The sequence below is a fragment of the Homo sapiens genome, chromosome X, assembly GCF_000001405.40.
Source record: "Homo sapiens chromosome X, GRCh38.p14 Primary Assembly".
NCBI lineage: Eukaryota > Metazoa > Chordata > Mammalia > Primates > Hominidae > Homo > Homo sapiens.
The window spans coordinates 149608209-149627615 of record NC_000023.11 but is presented as its reverse complement, the minus strand read 5'-3'; the positions used below and the strand labels follow the sequence as shown (position 1 = coordinate 149627615).

General features: G+C 37.7%; 1 protein-coding gene across 4 annotated transcripts in view; it reads left to right on the top strand.

Moving 5' to 3' along the window:
* The window catches only part of TMEM185A (transmembrane protein 185A), a 35237-nt gene that overhangs the window by 4177 nt on the left and 11653 nt on the right, over window positions 1-19407 (top strand). For 2 of the 4 annotated variants that reach the window (NM_032508.4, NM_001282302.2), the window contains exons 2-3: window positions 16153-16329; window positions 18782-18989. The exons of 1 other annotated variant lie outside the window; for it this stretch is intronic. In NM_032508.4, coding sequence (NP_115897.1) covers window positions 16153-16329; window positions 18782-18989 — 385 coding nt within the window. The remainder of the gene's footprint in view (window positions 1-16152; window positions 16330-18781; window positions 18990-19407) is intronic. One more of the 4 variants, NM_001174092.3, reaches the window with a different exon arrangement.

The window sequence follows — 19407 nt, the reverse complement described above, 5'->3', positions numbered from 1 at the left end:
GGAAATGACTTTTGAGCTAGATTTTGAATTGAGCTAGTCTTTTGAGCCAGACTTTTGAGCTAGAATTGTAGGGTTGTCATCAGACCAGAGAGTAGGAAGGGTACCTTGTGAGGAAGAGAGAGAGAGATCAGATTGTTACTGTGTCTATGTAGAAAAGGAAGACATAAGAAACTCCATTTTGATCTGTACTAAGAAAAATTGTTTCTGCTTTGAGATGCTGTTAACCTGTAACTTTAGTCCCAACCCTGTGCTCACAGAAACCTGTGCTGTAATGAATCAAGGTTTAATGGATTTAGGGCTGTGCAGGATGTACCTTGTTAACAATATGTTTGCAGGCAGTATGCTTGGTAAAAGTCATCGCCATTCTCCATTCTCGATTAACCAGGGACACAGTGCACTGCGGAAGGCCGCAGGGACATCTGCCCAAGAAAGCCTGGGTATTGTCCAAGGTTTCCCCCCACTGAGACAGCCTGAGATATGGCCTTGTGGGAAAGGAAAGACCTTACCACCCCCCAGCCCGACACCCGTAAAGTGTCTGTGCTGAGGAGGAGTAGTGAAAGAGCGGGGCCTCTTTGCAGTTGAGATAAGAGGAAGGCTTCTGTCTCCTGCTCATCCCTGGGAATGGAATGTCTCTGTGTAAAGCTGACCATTCCCATTCGTTCTATTCTGAGATAGGAGAAAACCACCCTGTGGCTGGAGGCGAAGTATGCTGGCAGCAATACTGCTCTGTTACTCTTTGCTACACTGAGTTGTTTGGGTAAAGAGAAACATAAATCTAGCCTGCGTGCACATCCAGGCACAGTACCTTTCCTTGAACTTATTCATGATACAGATTCCTTTGCTCACGTTTCCCTGCTGACCTTCTCCCCACCTGTTGCCCTGCTACACTCCCCTCGCTAAGATAGTAAAAATAATGATCAGTAAATACTGAGGTAACTCAGAGGCTAGCGCTGGTGCGGGTCCTCCGTATGCTGAGTGCCGGTCCCCTGGGCCCACTGTTCTTTCTCTATACTTTGTTTCTGTGTCTTATTTCTTTTCTCAGTCTCGTCCCACCTGACGAGAAATACCCACAGGTGTGGAGGGGCTGGCCCCTTTCAGTATCTCAGAAGGGACAAAGTACACAAAGGCATGGGGTCATGATAGTGCCTGGTATGTTCAGGTAGTGAAGAGGTCCATGTGGTATGAGCACTGCAGATGATATGTGTCGTATGAATTAAAAATACATAGTTACTGCAAATAGTTTTTACAGGTTATTGTTTTTAAGAAAGCAGTATCTAATGCACGAGTGTACTGTCAGTACTGTCAATGAACTACTTACCACTCAAGTGACTGCTTATCTGTTGTTCTGTCCTCTCAAGCCACCTACAGTCAGAAAATGGTCTTGATTTTACTGATGTTGCTGTTAATAATAGCTGTGACTTCTTGAGTACCCACCACATGCCAGGCCCAATGTAGGGGCTTTGCATCCATTATCCATGATCTTTACAACAACCCTGCAAAATTAGGTATCAGCCTTATTTTAAAGTCTTGACAGCTTGTGACTTCCCTGAAGTTGCATAGGCAGGAAGAATCTAAGTCAACATTCGAATCCACGTCAGTCTCATGAAGCCTGTGCTCTTTCCTGCGTGCCATGCCATAGTTCTAGTTAAGTGACAACTCCTTTCCTCCATGACATTGTAGATCCAGTATGCTAAGGAACCCTCTATTTACAAATTGTAAGTGATTAAACAAAACAAACCTGTTAGTGGCGCTTATACATCCAAATGAGTGTTGTTATTCAAAGAGGTTACTTGGGGAAAGAGAATGTATACACCTATTCCATTGTTCATACTCCTTGTTACTCATCTGGAATTCCCTTTAAAGTCAGTTTACATATCACATAAGAAGATCCATCTCATTGCTTTATGATCATCTATCATTTTCAACCAAAATAGTTCCACCTAGTTTGATCACACATCTTATTCACTAACCTTGGCTCTGACTGACTGTTTGCCATTTCCAAAATTTGAATCCACCCTCAGTGAAAATTTAGCACCATTTGGGATAGTCAGAAGATCAGACTGCAGGTTCTCAAGGTGCTTCCAAGAAGAAAGCTTCAAAGATGATTTGAGTAATGAAGTACCATTGGAATTACTGCATTGCCTCCCAAGGGGACTGGTTAAAGGAGAGAAATCTCATTTGAATGTATAATTTCCAGTTTTAAAAGTATCATTCCTATTACTTGATAATTACACACACATTGTTCTTAGCTGTGTTCTTTGAGGGCCAGGATTTGGAGGTGCTGAATTACGTGCTGAATGAGTGGATGTTGGGTACAAATAGACATCTACCACTGGGAAGTCTTTGTTGTACAGGAGAGACCGTGGATTGAAGGAGTTTTAGATAGTTTCCTAGGACTCCAGAAGTTAAGCTTTTTAATATGGAGCTTGAGTTTTCTAATCATTTTGCCTGATATGTCATGCCTGTACAAGATGACTGGAATTTAAGACAAAAGCCTCGAACTCTGGAGATAGATGCTTTATAAGTGGAGACTCATACTTTGTCAGCTCCAACCTAATAGTGACAACAATGATTGCTAAATGAGATTATTACCTACAATGTGGCAGAACTTTTGTCTTTCATAATACTGCTAAAGCTAGAATGGGTAAAATGTATCATTTACACAGTGCTTTCACATACCCTTGTCTTAATGAATCAGTATATGAGGAATCAGATGAGGAGACAGACCTGGGGGAAAATAACTCACCCAAGACCACACCGCTGATGAATGGCAGTTGAGGAACTTAAATGCAGATCTTCCTACTGGCCTGGGCTCTGCTTTTATTTGGCTTTTGTGCTTTTTTGTATCTACTGGTTAAATGCTCTTAAACATTTTTTATCTTAATAAAACCAGCTAAAGTCTCCACTAAAAGACTTTAAATTTGGTTAATAAGGTGTAAGAGGGGCAGTTCCCTTGATAGTTTGTGAGTATGTCAGGTTGTCATTTGGAGCCATTCTGTCAAGCTTTAGACTGGGATGTGCCATCCAAAGTTTGTGTGTGTGTATGTGCTTGTGCGTGTGTACGTGCATGCAGGCATGTGTTAATGCGCGTGTATGTGCTCCAGTGAAGCCAGCAGCTTCCACTGGAAAAAAACTGATAGGTCTAAAAAGAGTCCAGCTGCATTCTTATGATATGCAGAAAACAGATACTAGAACTTTTACATTCAGAGTCATCATTCCTTTGCTAAGTATATTCTCTCTCTCCCTCCCTTCTTCCTTTTCTCCCTCCCTATTCTCCCAACCCTGCAAAGTGGAGAGAGGGAATTTGAGCCTGAGCAGAAAGCTCCATGTAAATTTCAGAGAGGATACTAGCTTTGGCCCAGGTAGCACTACTTAGTGATTCATCGTATACTAACACTACAGATTCAAATGAGAGTGGAATAAATCCATTCTAAAGGTGTAACTGGAAAAGTGAATTTTAAGAAGTAGTGATTAATGTTAAACCAGAACCTCCCATTTCTCCCAGGTTTGTGGAGAATTAAGCAGTCTATTTTTATACTTGGAATCTGGTCTGAATGTTTCTTGAAAAGTAACTCAAAGTAGTTTAGGCTATGACCATAAGTTATTTTTGTAAATACATTTTCTTATCACTGTATTATTGCATATTATTGTGTATTCTTTTGCAAATCAGGCTTGATATTTCCTTTTGGCTATGCAGTCACCTTTTAGACTTTGCTTGCAAATATATTGATATAGTTAAGATACTATTCTTTCTTTCCCCAACTAGGAGTGTGTATGAATTACATCTTTTGAACTTACTGATTGTATTACTTTGTTTTACTTGATCAACTTTGTAGTTTAATTTTTTTAAAAAGCTAGCTGTTGGGATTACTGATCAGTTTCATTTTTATATCTATATTTCTACTTTTAGTTTTATTATTTTCATGTTTTGGCTTTTTCCCCAAATTTCTTAGAAACTCAGTTTACTAGTTTTCTTTTGCCTCTTTTTTTTTTTCTTTGTTTTCTACTTTTACTTAAACATTTTAAATGAACACATTTTCTCTTGAGTTTTGTTTTGGCAGCTGCCCAGGTATTTTTATGTTTCAATTGTATTTTAGTAACTCTACTAAACTGCTTAACAAATCAGTATTGAAAATGATCCATTTTTTGTCAGTGTTTTTATGAATTGTATAAAATGTCTACCTCTGGTCTCTACTGATTACAATCTACCTTACACACTCATATGTATCTTCTGTCACTCTTGTTGAGAAAATCTGCAGTGGCCCCATATTACCTATTAATAAATTCCAAGGACTTTACCTTGATATTCACATTCCCCTACCATGTTACCACAGCCAACTTCTGGCTTATTCCCCCCAGTACCCTTTCTCCTGTCTCTGCAGCACCCTACCCACCACGATTTATAGAAAGTATTCTGTGTGTTCCAGTCTGCTGGAATTGGAGAGGGGAGGATAAAGAGGGGATGAGCAATGGGTACAATAATACAGTTAGATAGAAATAATAAATCTAGTGTTTGGTAGCACAAGAGGGCAAATATAGTTAATAATGTATATTTGCAAATAACTAAAAGAGTGGAATTGAAATGTGCCTAACACAAGTAAGTGATCAGTGCTTGAGGTGATGGATATCCCAGTTACTCTGATTTGATCATTACACATTGTATGCTTGCATCACAGTATCACGTGTACCCCATAAATAGGCACAACTGTTTTGTATCCATAATAAATAAAAATAATTTTTAAAAAATTGGAAAACATCTTATTCCCTTTGTCTGGAATTCCTTATTCCCAACTTGTTGCCCAGATTCCACTTCTCTTCCCATCTCTCTCAGGGAAATTAATCTTCCAAGTCCCCTAGTTTACCATATGTAGTTACTTGTTGATACATCATCTCCCTCTGTTCCTATTAGTCTGAGCATCTTGAGCGAACGCATTGTTGCTCCTTTTTATGTATCTCACACATTTCAGGCACTCAAATATTTTTAACAATTGTAAATTAGATGTGTGTTTATTGTGTATTGCTGCCCCATGATCCTTTTTTTCTCCCTGGAAAAACTATATATATGTAAAGCAAGTATGTTTTCTTGTTCTGCTACGTAATTATCTTCATATAAGCTTGCTGTTTTTTAAATTTTCTCGTTCTGCTACTTAATTCTCTTCATATAACCTTGCTGTTTTTTAAATCTACTCTTGTGTTCATTTCCGTATTTTCCTTAGGAACTTTGTCTGTTTTATCTGTCATGATTTAAGAGTAGCATGAGGAAGCCCACAATTAAAATATTTCTGTGTATCCTTAAAAAAGAAAAATTGTAAAATTATTTCCATATTCCATGGTCATGTTAGGTTTTTGTTATTTAGGTTTTCCTTATTAGTCCTTTTAGCATTTTAATACTTTCGGCTTTGAAATCTAATTTATCTAATTTTAAAGATAGTAAATTGTTGCTCTTGTCTTCATCCAGGCGTGCTAAACCTCTGTCATCTGATTTCTGATAGTTGGTTCGACTTTTGACTTTGGTTCCAAGCGTAACTCTTGAATGTAACAGGTTTACTTTCTTAATCTAGGAAGCAACCTTTCTTTTTACAGAGCTGTGGTAGGCAGAATAATGACGCCCCCAAGTATGTCCACATCCTAATCCGTGGAACCAGGGAATATGTTCTGTTACATGGCAAAGGGGAATTAAGGTAGCAGATGGAATTAAGTTTGCTCATCAGCTGACCTTAAAATAGATTATTCTGGATTCTCTGGCTGAGCCCAATGTAATTACAGGGCCCTTAAATATAGAAGAGGGAGACAGAAAAGGAGGTCAGAGTGATTCAGTATGAGAAGAACTGCATTCTCCATTGTTGACTTTGAAGATGGAGGAAGGGGCCATGAGCTAAGGAATGTGGCAGCCTCTAGAGCTAGAAAAGGCAAAGAAACATTCTCTCCTAGAGCCTTCAGTAGCATAGTCCTGCTGACACCTCAAGTTTAGCCCAGCGAGACCCATATTGGACTCTGACCTCCAGAATTGTAAGGGTTATGCCTTTTAAACCACTAGGTTTATGCTTTTTAAACCACTAGGTTTGTGGCAGTTTTGAATGGCAGCAATAGGAAATTAATAAGAGAACATTCAGCTCATGTATATTTTTCTAACCCTAGTATTTGAATCATGAATTATATTTTGTGGGTCCTTTTGTAAGTTTATCTTGTTTTCTATTTTTCATGTAATAGACATAAAATTTTAAGTTTCCTTTAAATTATGTCAAAAACCACATAAAATAATCCCTTTTCCAACATTTAAAACATTTTGGTACTTCTCTTTTCTTTAGTTCCACTACTCTCTTTTTTTATTAAATAAGGAAACTGTTTTACAGAGGATAATGAAGTTAGCTTACAGCATTTACCACCCCCCCCCACCAATTTACTTTTTATTTATAGTCTGAAAATCCTTTAGGATAAAAATTACCTGTACATGTTATCTAATTTACATATGAATCCTGTGTCGTCATTATCTTAGCATTTGTTAATGTTTGAATCCACTAATTTCTTTTTTAAATAGTCTGTTTTCAAGTCCATTGTTTCTGGTAATTATATTTGTAGCCACAGGCTTTAGTTGACAAATTGGTTCTGATTTTTTTAGATTTTGGAATATTTCCCTCTGCTTTAAGAGAGAAAACTTCTGCCTCTACTAATTGTGTACTGTAATTGTGGTGATAACTCCATTTCTATTAACTTGTGAATCACCTTGACACAGGCTCTCTTCTTGTCCAAAGTCTAAGGGATGAAGTCATTTTTATCTTGGTTTCTTTAAATGTTCTTTCTTTGTAGCAGCTTATAAAAGCCTGTTTTTGTTTTCGAGTATTAATATTATTAGCTAATGTGTATTGAGTACGCTGGTTATCAGACTGTTTCCCACAGACCTTGGGAGTGGGCCTTGAGACCCTTTCCAGGTATCTGCAAAGTCAAAATTATAATACTAAGACATTCTTTGCCTTGGTCGACATTGGCACTGGTGGTACAAAAGTAGTGCATCAAACAGCTGGTGCTGGAGCACAAATCAGGACAGTGGCACCAGCTGCACTAGTCTTCTGTCACTGGATTCTTCACCACCACGTGCTGGACTTGCAGTTAAAAAAAAAATGCCAGCTTCACTTACGAATGTCCTTGATAAAGCAGAAAAATATTAATCTCATTTAATCTTGACCCCTGAATGCACATCTAGTTTAATATTCCATGTGATGAAATGGGAAGAATGCATAAAGGCCTGTTGTATGCTGAAGTGCAATGGTTGACTCAAGGAAAAACGTGTGTGCCTGAGTTACAAGCTGCTGTTTTCATGGAGTATCATTTTTATTTGGAAGGACAACTGACAGACAAGACTGTGGTTATTTGTGTTATGGTGTTTGGCAGACATTTTCTTGAAAATGCAGGAAGCCACAATAAACATACGTGTGCATGTGTCTTTATAGCAGCATGATTTATAGTCCTTTGGGTATATACCCAGTAATGGGATGGCTGGGTCAAATGGTATTTCTAGTTCTAGATCCCTGAGGAATCGCCACACTGACTTCCACAACGGTTGAACTAGTTTACAGTCCCACCAACAGTGTAAAAGTGTTCCTATTTCTCCACATCCTCTCCAGCACCTGTTGTTTCCTGACTTTTTAATGATTGACATTCTAACTGGCACTATTCACAATAGCAAAGATTTGGAACCAACCCAAATGTCCAACAATGATAGACTGGATCAAGAAAATGTGGCACATATACACCATGGAATACTATACAGCCATAAAAAATGATGAGTTCATGTCCTTTGTAGGGACATGGGTGAAATTGGAAATCATCATTCTCAGTAAACTATTGCAAGGACAAAAAACCAAACACCACATGTTCTCACTCATAGATGGGAATTGAACAATGAGAACACATGGACACAGGAAGGGGAACATCACACTCTGGGGACTGTTGTGGGGTGGGGGTTGGGGGGAGGGATAGCATTAGGAGATATACCTAATGCTAAGTGACGAGTTAATGGGTGCAGCACACCAGCATGGCACATGTATACATATGTAACTAACCTGCACATTGTGCACATGTACCCTAAATCTTAAAGTATAATAATAATAAAAAAAAGAAAAAAAAAGACAAAAATACTATAATAAAAGATGCTTCTATCACACACACAAAAAAAGAAAGTGCAGGAAGCAAAACTTCAAGGAAAACAACTCATGGTATTTTTTGTAAATGGTAAAATTTGATCTTTCATGGGAAAACCAGAATTTTTGAAAAGTTGTATCTGCTACCATGAGCTTGACAACCTCCCAGTAATTAAAATATTTCTGATGAAGTTGGTGAAGATAGTAAGTAATGTGATTTTTTTTGCTATTGTATATGAAATGTGTCAACATTTGAAAGATCTTTATAACTCAGTAAACCAATATTTTCCAGTCGACCTACATTGCATTATACAATAATGCTGGGATAAAAGATTCATTGAAAGTATAAGAGAGACCAGTGGATTTCAGTGTAGCAGAGTACAAAAAGGTCATTGATACGATTTCAGATTCCACATCATAGTTAACCTTTAAGAAACTACCACTTGTTGAGTTTTAGTGTCCTGTTGAAGAACGTCTACCATTATCTGAAAGAGCTATTAAAATAGTTCTTTTCTAACTACAGATCTCTGTGAGGCCAGATTTTCTTTGTATACTTGAACCAAAACAATGTATTGCAACAGAATGAATGTAAATATAGATATTAGAATCTAGGTGTCTTCTATGATATCATACATTAAAAATTTTGCTAAACTGTAGAAACAGTGTCGCTACTCTCACTAAATTTGTGTTGGTTTTGGAAATGTTTTTAAATAATGTTATTTATGTTAGTATGTAATGTGTTTATTATTACCTTCGAAGAGTAGATATTTTTTGAATAACAACTGTATCGTAAATATTAAATACCAATAGGGATAACCCATATCAACCAGAGCTCTTTGGGATCCTCAGTAAGTGTTAGAACTGAAAAGGAGTTCTTTTTAAGAGTTAAACGTCAAAATTTTTGATACTAAAAACTTTGAGAGCCACTGATTTAGTGCTTTATACAAAGCACTTGTTATACTCATTATCTTATATTCGTAGCCACCTTATGAGGTACATATTATTGCCCTAACTTTATGGGTAAGAATACCATGACACAATGATGCTATGTATATTTTTTTAGCAACCCCTCTGAATCTCATGATCTTCCCAGCGTAGTTTTCTCTCTGGGAGGCTTGCTTCCAAGTTTAATTTTGTAGGTCCAGTCTTCTTACAACCCTCCTCCCTTTTTTCCAATCGAAGTTTCTTATGTTATTTTTCATAGTACAAAAACAGTACACGTACCTTACAGAAAACTCAGATATCATAAGCAAAAGAGTATAAAGACTATCCTTAATCTTCCCGAGTGGAGACCTGTTAGCTGCTCAGCAGATATTTATACAGATGCTTTTCTAAACATGTTCATTTATCAGTGTAAAGCCGGTATAGTATAATACTCAATTAGAAGGATTTTGGAGTCAAATGGTTTGACTCCCAACTCTGAGCTCTTAGACAAGTTATTTAACATCTGAGCTTTCTGTTCCTTATCTGTAACCGCACTGATCTGTTTTTCTGTGTCTAGAGTTTTGCCCTTTCCAGAATGTCAAATAAGTAGCATTGTACACTATCTTGTGTTTTCCATCTGAATTATTTTACTTATAGTGCATTTTAGATTCATCAATGTTGTTGTTGTCATCCATAGTTTGTTACTTTTTACTGCTGATTAGTATTCCATTGAACGGATATATCAAAATTCAGTTAACCATTCACCAGTTTATGGATGTGTGAGTTGTTACCAGTGGCAATTATGAATAAAGCTTCTTGGAATATTTGAATACAGGCCTTTGTGTGGACATACGTTTTCCTTTTTCTTGAGTAAAATACCTAGGTGTGGGATTGCTGGGCCATAGAATAAGTATACACTTAACTGTATAAGAAACTTCCAAAATGTTTTCTAAAGTGGCTGTACTATTTTGCATTCCCACCAGCATATATAAGAGATCTAGTGTGTGTGTAATCTTATCTCATTGTCGTTTTAGTTTGCATTGTCCTAACATCTGAAAATACTGAGTATTTTTTGTGTGCTTATTTGCTTTTTGTATGCCTTCTTTGATGGGATGTCTCTGAATTTTTTGGCCATTTTAAATCGGGTTGTTCACTTATTTTTTTAGTTGTAAAAGTCCTTTTTATATACTGGATACAGGTTACTTTGTCAGATACGTGTTTTCAGAGTATGGTCTCCCAGTTTGTGGCTTGGCTGTCATTTTGTTAATGATAGGTATCTTTTGGAGAGTAAGAGTTTTTCATTTTGGAGAAGTCCAATTTCATATCCCATCTAAGAAATGTTTGCCTAACCGTAGGTTGCAAGTATTTTTTTTTCATATGTGTTTTGGACATTTTATAGTTTTGTGTATGACATTTAGGTCTATGATCCATGTCACATAAATTTTTGTATATGTTATAAGGTTAAGAGTCAAGGTGTACTTTCCTCATTTATCCAGTTGTACCACCATTTATTGAAACATAATTATTTCTCCATTGAGTTGTTTTGGCACCTTTGTGGAAAATTAACTGACTCTATATGTATGGGTCTGTTTTCCAACTCTCTAGTACGTTCTATATATCTATTCTTATGCCAGTACTACATTGTGTTTATTACTGTAGCTTTATAGTAAGCTTTGAAAGCATGTAGTATAAATTGTCCAACTTTGTTCTTTTTCAGAATTGTTTTGCCCATTCTAGGTCCTTTGCACTGTCATATGACTTTTAAAGTCAGTATGTCAATTTCTACAGAAGAACCTGCTGGCTCCCAATTTTCGCTGGGATTGCATTGATTCTTTAAAATAATTTGGTTAATTTGGTGTGTGTGGTAGGCTAAATCATGACCCACAAAGATACCCACTTCCATGGAACCTGTTAAAGATCTTGAGATGATGGGGTTATCCAAGTGGGGCAATAAATGCAATCAATCACAGGTTCCCTTAAAAGAGGGAGATAATATTAAGAGGAGAAGGCAGTGTGGTGGAAACAGAGACAGAGATTTGAAGATTTTATGCAGCTGGTTTTGATGATAGAGAAAGGGGCCATGAGCCAAGGGAATACAGCTCTGGAAACTGGAAAAAAACAAGTAATAGATTCTCCCATAGAGTCTCCAGAAGGAGTAGGTCCTGCTGACATCTTGGTTTTAGCCCAGTGAAACCCTTTTTGGACCTCTGGCCTCAGGATAATAAATGTGTGCCATTTTAAGTCACCAATTTTGTGGTAGTTTGTTACAGCACCCATAGGAAACTAATACACAGAGGATGTAAATCTTAACAGTATTGAGTGTTCTATGAACACAGTATATGTCTCCATTTATTTAGATCTTTAATTTTTCTTGGCAGTTATGAACTGAATGTGTCCCTTTAAAAATCACAAGTTGACTCTAGTCCCCAGTGTGATGGTATTTGGAGGTGGGGCATTTGGGAGGTGATTAGGTTATGAGGGTGGAACCCTCATGGTTGGAACTAGTGCCCTTATAAAAAGAGACCAGAGAGCTAACTCACTCTCTTTTCACCATGTGAAGGGTATTGAGAAGTCTGCCATCTGCCACCCAGAAGGCAGCCCTCGCCAGAACCCAGCCATGCTGGCATCCTGATCTCCAACTTCCAGCCTCTGGAACTGTGAGGAATAAATTTCTGTTGTTTATTAGCTTCCCCACAGTCCTACCAGTGTTTTGTAGGTTTCAGTATATAGGTTTTGCATATATGTTGTTACATTTATCCCTAAGTGTTTTATATTTGTGATGCTATTGTAAATGGTGGATTTTTTCATAAACTTTTAATTTTTGAATAGTTATAAATTTATAGGAAAGTTGCAGTAAATGATACATATTTTTAAATTTCTGTTTCCAATTTGTGATAGCTACTATATAGAAATGCAATAATTTTTGTAAATTTACCTTGTGTCCTTCAATTTTGTTAAATTCACTTACTAGATCTACTAGCTTTTTTTTAGATTACTTAGGATTTCCTACACGGAATATCATGTTGCCTATAGATAATGACAGGTTTACTTCTTTCTTTTAAAACTATATTCTTTTAATTTCTTTTTATCATCTTATTGTTGTGGCTAGGACCTTTAGTACAATGTTGAATAGATGTGTTGAAGTGGACATACTTGCTGTGTTTCCTGTCTTAAGGGGAAAGTATTGAGTCTCTCACCATTAAGCATTATAACTGCAGGTTTTTCATAGATGCTCTTCTTTTCCTAATTTGTTTAACGCTTTTAACTTGAATGGGTAGCAAATTACGTCAAATGCTTTTTACACAACTATTGAGATGATCATATGATTTTTCTTTTTCAGCCTGCTAATACCACGAAGGTTGCTAACTGATTTTCAAATGTTAATCCAAGATTGCAATCTTGCAATCCTAGCTAAACCACACCTAGTCGTAATGTAGTATCCTTATATATTGCTGAATTCAGTTGGCTAAAATCTTTTCAGGATTTTTGCATCTCTGTTCATGAGAGATATTGGTCTGTAGTTTTCTTTCTTTGTCAGTTTTGTTATCAGGGTAATGCTGGCTTCATAAAATAAATTGGGAAATGTTCCCCCCTCATCTTTTTTGCAAGAGTTTGTGAAGAATTGGTGGTATTTCCTCATTAAATGTTTGGTAGATTTTGCCATGGCCTGACATTTTCTTTCTGAAAAAGGTTTTAACTAGAATTGCAGTTTCCATGTCTTTGTTTCAAGAAATTTCCTGGCATAAAGTTGTTTATAATATCCCCTACTTATCCCTTTAGTATTATTAGGATTTGTAGTGATATCCCTGTTTTCATTCTTGATATTAGTAATTTGAGCCTACTCTTTTTTACTGATTATTCTGGCTGTAGATTTACCAATTTTCTTACTTTCTCAAAGAAACTGCTTTTAGTTTCATTGATTTTTTTCTCTAATCCCTTTTTACTGTATTTTATTGATTAATGTGCTTACATTTATCATTTTCTTCTTTCCATTTACTTTTTACAAATTTCCTTCCGTTTCTTACATGGAGGTTCCTTACCTCCATGTTCTTTCTAGTTTCATAAGATAGAATCTTAGATTATTGACTTGATATCTTTTCTAATGTAAGTATTTGATGCTAAAATTTCCCTTAAGTACTGCTTTAGTGTATCTCACAAATTTTGGTATATTGTGTTTTTGCCTTTAGTCCAAAATATTTTTCAATTTTCTTCATAGTCTTTGACCTATGGATTATTTCGCAGTGTGGCATTTAATTTTCAAGTATTTTGAGAATTTTCCAGATATTTTTCTATTGTTGATTTCTAGTTTGACTCCATTGTGCTTGTTTACTTTGTATGATTTCAGTCCTTTTAAATTTGTTGAGCTTTGTTTTATGGCCCAGAATTCAATCTATCTTGGTGAATGTTCCGTGTGTGTTTGAAAGGAATCTGTATTTTGCTTTTGTTGGGAGGAACTCATTAATATTAATTAGGTCAAGTTGGTTGATAGTGTTGCTACAATCATATATATCCTTAGTAATTTTCTGTTTATGTGTTCTATTAGTTACTAAGAAAGGAATGTTAATTTCCATTTATAACAGTTTGATTTTTTTATTTCTCCTTTTAGATTGATCAGTACTTTCTACATGTATTGTGAAACTTTGTTATTAGGCATATGACAAATTGACCCCTTTATCATTATGAACTACCTCTATTTGTCCCTGGAAATAGTCCTTGTTCAAAAATATACTGTGTCTTATGTTGTGGTAGGCAGAATGCCCCACCCCCACAAATACACAGATACCCAGGCCCTAAGCCCTGAAACCTGTGAATATGTTATTATTTTACATGGCAAAGGGGACTTTGAAGCTATATTTATTAGCATTCGTTTCTGCTGTTACCATGACAAATTACTCTCAGTTCTTTAGGTCAGAAGTCCGGGTACAGCACAACTCAGATGGGTCTTCTGCCTAGTTTCACAGGGTCAAAATCAAAGTGTCAGGAGGGCTCTATTCCTTTCTGGAGCCTCCAGGGATTAATCTGCTTTCAAGCACATTTGGGCTATTGTCAGAATTTAGTTCCTTGGGGTTGTAGGGCTGAGGTCCCATTTACCTTGCTGGCTGTCAGCTGCGAGTTATTCTCAGCTTCTGAAGCCTGCCTGCATTCCTTGGCTCATGGTTCCTTACCTCCATGTTCAAAGCCAGAAGTAACAGGCTGAATCCTTCTCAAGTCTGGAATCTCTCTGACTTCTGCCTCATCTCTCTTCCACCACATTTCTCTGACTTACTCTTCTGCTTTCTTAAGGGCTTATGTGATTACACTGGGCACACCTGGATAATCCAGTATAATCTTCCTATTGTAAAGTTAGCTGATTAGTAACCTTAATTCCATCTGCAAAGTCCCTTCACAGTATTACTCAGATTAGTGTTTGATTGAATAATCAGGGGACAGGAATCCTGGGAAACTTCTTTAGAATTCTGCCTACCAACCACAGTTATGGACCTTAAAATAGGGAGAGTAGCCTGGCTTAACCAGGTGGACTCAGTTTCATCACATGAACTCTTAAAAGCGGAGAACTTTCTCTCAGTGGAAGCAGAAGCGATATGGCAGAAGTAGTGAGAAAACATCCCAAGCATGAGAAAGATTGAATATGCTATAGCTTGTTACTGGCTTTGAGATGTAGGGGCCTATTTACAAGGACCCAGGAGAGGCCCCTACTATCGCAAGATCAGCTGCTGCGTGACAGCAAGCAAAGAGACACATACCTCAGTCCTACAACCACAAGAAACTGGATTCTGCCAACAACCTGAATGAGCTTAGAAGTAGATTCTGCCAGAGTCCCCTGATAAGCATTCCACCAACAGACATCTTTATTTCAGCCTTGTGAGATTCTGAGTAGAGAAACCAACCAAGCCCGTCTCGCCTTTTGTCATATAGAACTGTGAGATAATAAATTTACGTTGTTTTAAGCTGCTAAGTTTGTGGTAATTTGTTACAGCAGCAATGGAAGACTAAACAGATATTAATATAGTCATTCCAGCTTTCTTTTGGTTAGTGTTTATTTGGTATAACTTTTTCTTTCCTTTTGCTTTTAATCTATCTGTGTCTTTATAGATAGATAAAGTGGGATTCTTACAGACAGCATATAGTTGTCTTGCTTACTTATCCAATCTGATCATCTTTGTCTTTCAGTTGGCCATTTATATTTAATATAGTTATTGACAGGGTTGAGTTTTAACTGTTTTCTTGCTGCAGCCTGGAAACTGCCTCTGATCTGCAAACTGGGGCAATAGTAGGGTTTACCTCCTTTATTTCCTCCTTCTCACCTGTTCTCCACTGCCTGTTGTCAATGTCTGAAAACTGTTCTTTTGTAGACTGTATCAAGCTTCTTATTTAGGCGGGAAGGTAAATTATATTCCTATTATTAAGTCAAGGCTGGAAATAGAGGTCCTCAAGAGTATAATTTCTAATTATTTCAAGGACATCCTCTGTAGCAATTCCCTTTTATATGAGACGTGAGCATGTGTGTATGTGTAATTTATTCATTCATGGAAAGTATAATACATACACTAAAATGTTCATGCCATATGAATATGACAGATGGCTGCCTTTTTAGAAATAGAATCAGTTAGTGATAGAACTTGACCATTTTCAGAGCATGTCAGCCTTTTCCAGTCTCTGTGTCTTGGTATAGCTAGTTCCTTCTGCCTGGAATACTTCCTCATCTCACTTGCTTTCCTGCCTGGCAGCTTCCTACTTGCCCTCTGGAACCAGCTCTAGGGTCACCACATCTCTGCTTCTGAGTGCCTCCTCAGACACAGTCTGTATTTCCTCTTCCAAGCTCTCATCACAAACATTGTGCTGTATTATATGTTTCTGTGTGGTCTTCCTTCTATGAGGAAGCCTTGGAAAGCAGGAGACTTATTTTAGTCTTCTTTATGTTTCTTTTATTCCCAACACATTATGTCTGCCCCATAGACCTTTTCAATAAATGATTATTGAGTTAGTGACTCCTTTTACATGCTGACAAATGTGGCTCTTATTACTCCCCATTTCAGTATCACATATTTGTAAAAGTGAATCCTTCTTAATCGTTTTACTTTTCTCCTAGTAAATTCCTCATCTATGCCTGTCTGCTGCTGTTCTCTGTGCTGCTGGCCCTTCGTTTGGATGGCATCATACAGTGGAGTTACTGGGCTGTCTTTGCTCCAATATGGCTGTGGAAGTTAATGGTCATTGTTGGAGCCTCAGTTGGAACTGGAGTCTGGGCACGAAATCCTCAATATCGGTAATACTGCTTTATACAACCCATTGGTCTCTAGCATGAGGGAGCAATATCTTGACTTTTCTCACTTTTGATGAAGTAAGGACCATTTTATTTTCTACCTATCTGGGGTCTTAGAACTATAGTATAAGCTAACAGATCTCTTCTGTGTTTTTGAAAATTTAGTCTTTGGTATGTATTTTCTTACAAAAGCAGTGCCATTTGGGGGTAAGTTGCCAGCCAGCTCACAGATGCCTATATAATCCAAAATGCACCCAAAATACAGAACTGGTATGCCATACTAGACTAAGCAGCATGAAACCACCCTGTTTTTAGGAAAAGACACTCATATTATGTTTGGTCATGAAAGATCTTTCTCCAATACAGTTTTGGAACTGGGGCTCCCCTTGTCCCACCCTCCTAGTCCCAGAGCTTTAGGACTATTAGCAGTGTAGGGGAGGTGGCTTGACCAGGAGACCATGAGTCCCTGAGACAGCAGCTGGGGAATGAGGAAAGTCAAAGATTGGATGCCGAGAAGGAAAGCAGAGCCTTTGGGGGCAGGGGAGAGGGGTACCCTTTACCGTTTCCAACTCTTGCCCTCCCTGCTCTTGGATGCCTCCGCTGGCCCAAATTCCTGGGAGTTGGCTCACGCCAGCATGCAACCTGCTTGTTGCTGGGACCTGCGAGAGTCTTTCCCTTCTCTGCCACAGAGACTGTAACTACATAAAGGGAAAAAGGGGGACTTAAGACTGGGAGGCTATTATGAACCTCCACTGGGAAAATGAGGAGTACAGGAATTCCCAGAAGGCAGCTGCTCATGTGGGAAAAGTGTAAAGTTGAAACTACCGCACCTTTTTTTTTTTTTTTTTTTTTTTTTTTTTTGAGACAGAGTTTCGCTCTTGTTGCCCAGGCTGGAGTGCAATGGTGTGATCTCGGCCCACTGCAGCCTCCACATCCCGGGTTCAAGTGATTCTCCTGCCTCGGCCTCCTGAGTAGCTGGGATTACAGGCACCTGCCACCATGCCCAGCTAATTTTTTGTATTTTTAGTAGAGATAGGGTTTCACCATGCCAGGCTAGTTTTGAACTCCTGACATCAGGTGATCCACCCGCCTTGGCCTCCTGAAGTGCTGGGATTACAGGTGTGAGCCACCACGTCCGGCCACTACATCAACTTTTTAAATTTTTGTTTACTAAATATGAAAATGATTCAGATTGTGTAAATTACATATCACATACATGTCTAAGAACTGTAAAACAGTTACACAGAGAGCCTTGGCAGGTGAGGGACATTCATGTATAGCTGTTTCAGAGTTCTTAGATTTTTTTTGAAAGATTGATGACCTGTGTGGCTGTATGTGTTTTATTTTTTTATGAGATATTTTCAGATATCTAATATTAATTGCTTCTCAAAGAATGCAAAGTTAAATAAACATTTAGGTTCTACTAATTGATATTTAGAATATATTCAAACTTCTCTTTGTTGGTCTTATTTAAGATGTTTTGAGCAAGGAAAGGAATTGTGTATGTGGGGTTGAATGTAAGGAATGTACAGGCGTGGTCATTCTCATGTTAACATTAACCAGTGGAACATGGTTGGGTCCTACAGGAATAACCTCTGATAGCATTTTCTCTATGATCTAACTTCCGGTGTATTTGTCACCCACAATACATGTATATCATAAATGTTCATCTGTATTTTGAATAAACATTGTAGGCCTTTCAGATGCATTATAGAGCCTTTTCCTGATTAGCGGCCTTACCATTGCTCAATTGTAGATCTGTTAAGGTTATTGTGCATGATACTTAGCTAATTAAACTGATTTTGTTTGAGAACAGTTTTAACTCTTGTTCTTCTTTCTCTTTCATGTGCAGGTGTTAATTTATCTTAATGGAATAGAAAGGAAAATGAAAATCATTTATACGTTTTATTTGCATTTAAAAATAGCACCTAACAATAGTTACTACTATCTTGAAATATAACTGGCACTTGTTCATAGAACTAGAGTTATTTTTATAATATTGTGTGAAGGGTGGTTTACATGGTTTCTTGAAAAATGAGGATCATGAGACTTAAGGGGTATTTGCCTGGTTTTAGCAGCAGAAGCAAATCAGCTTGAATAATCTTGGAAGTAACTCTTGTTGTTGAATTTAAAGATGTGAACAGAAGTGTTTATGTACATTGTCAGGGAAATAAGAACTGGCTATTACTTTTGAGAATATCCTTATACGGTTAAAACATTAAATTCTGGTTTGGTTGTAATGTTCATTTTGTATTATGTAGTAGTTCTTCGATGTTTCAGAGATTGCCTACCAAAGCTTAGGTTTAAGTTAGCTTTCTACCTGATTTCCCTTTGCTTTTGTCAAATTTTCAAGTAAAATTCAAAGTATAAATATAAGTTGGTATTTGCCCTGAACTGCTTGCTTATAGTGGAGATTCTGAACTGAGGGTGTTTTCTTCTTCTCTCCCTTTTTTAGAGCAGAAGGAGAAACGTGTGTGGAGTTTAAAGCCATGTTGATTGCAGTGGGCATCCACTTGCTCTTGTTGATGTTTGAAGTTCTGGTCTGTGACAGAATCGAGAGAGGAAGCCATTTCTGGCTCCTGGTCTTCATGCCGCTGTTCTTTGTTTCCCCGGTGTCTGTTGCAGCTTGCGTTTGGGGCTTTCGACATGACAGGTCACTAGAGGTGAGATTTCATATATTTAAGAATGTTTTCCACTTTGGGAGGTCAAGGCAGGTGGATCACTTGAGGTCAGGAGTTTGAGACCAGCCTGGCCAACATGGTGAAACCCCATCTCTACTAATAATACAAAAATTAGCCGGGTGTGGTGGCATGCGCCAGTAATCCCAGCTTCTCCGGAGGCTGAGGCGGGAGAATCTCTTGAACCCAGGAGGCGGAGGTTGCAGTGAGCCAAGATTGAACCATTGCACTCCAGCCTGGGTGACAGAATGAAACTCCGTCTTAAAAAAAAAAAAAAAGAATGTTTTCAAAAGTAAAATATTTTGCTCAGTTATTCAGATGTCAATTTCTTACCCTTTGTTAGGAAGAGCTTGATCATTACCAACTCTACATCATGAGACAACAAGGCAACAAAAGATGATGG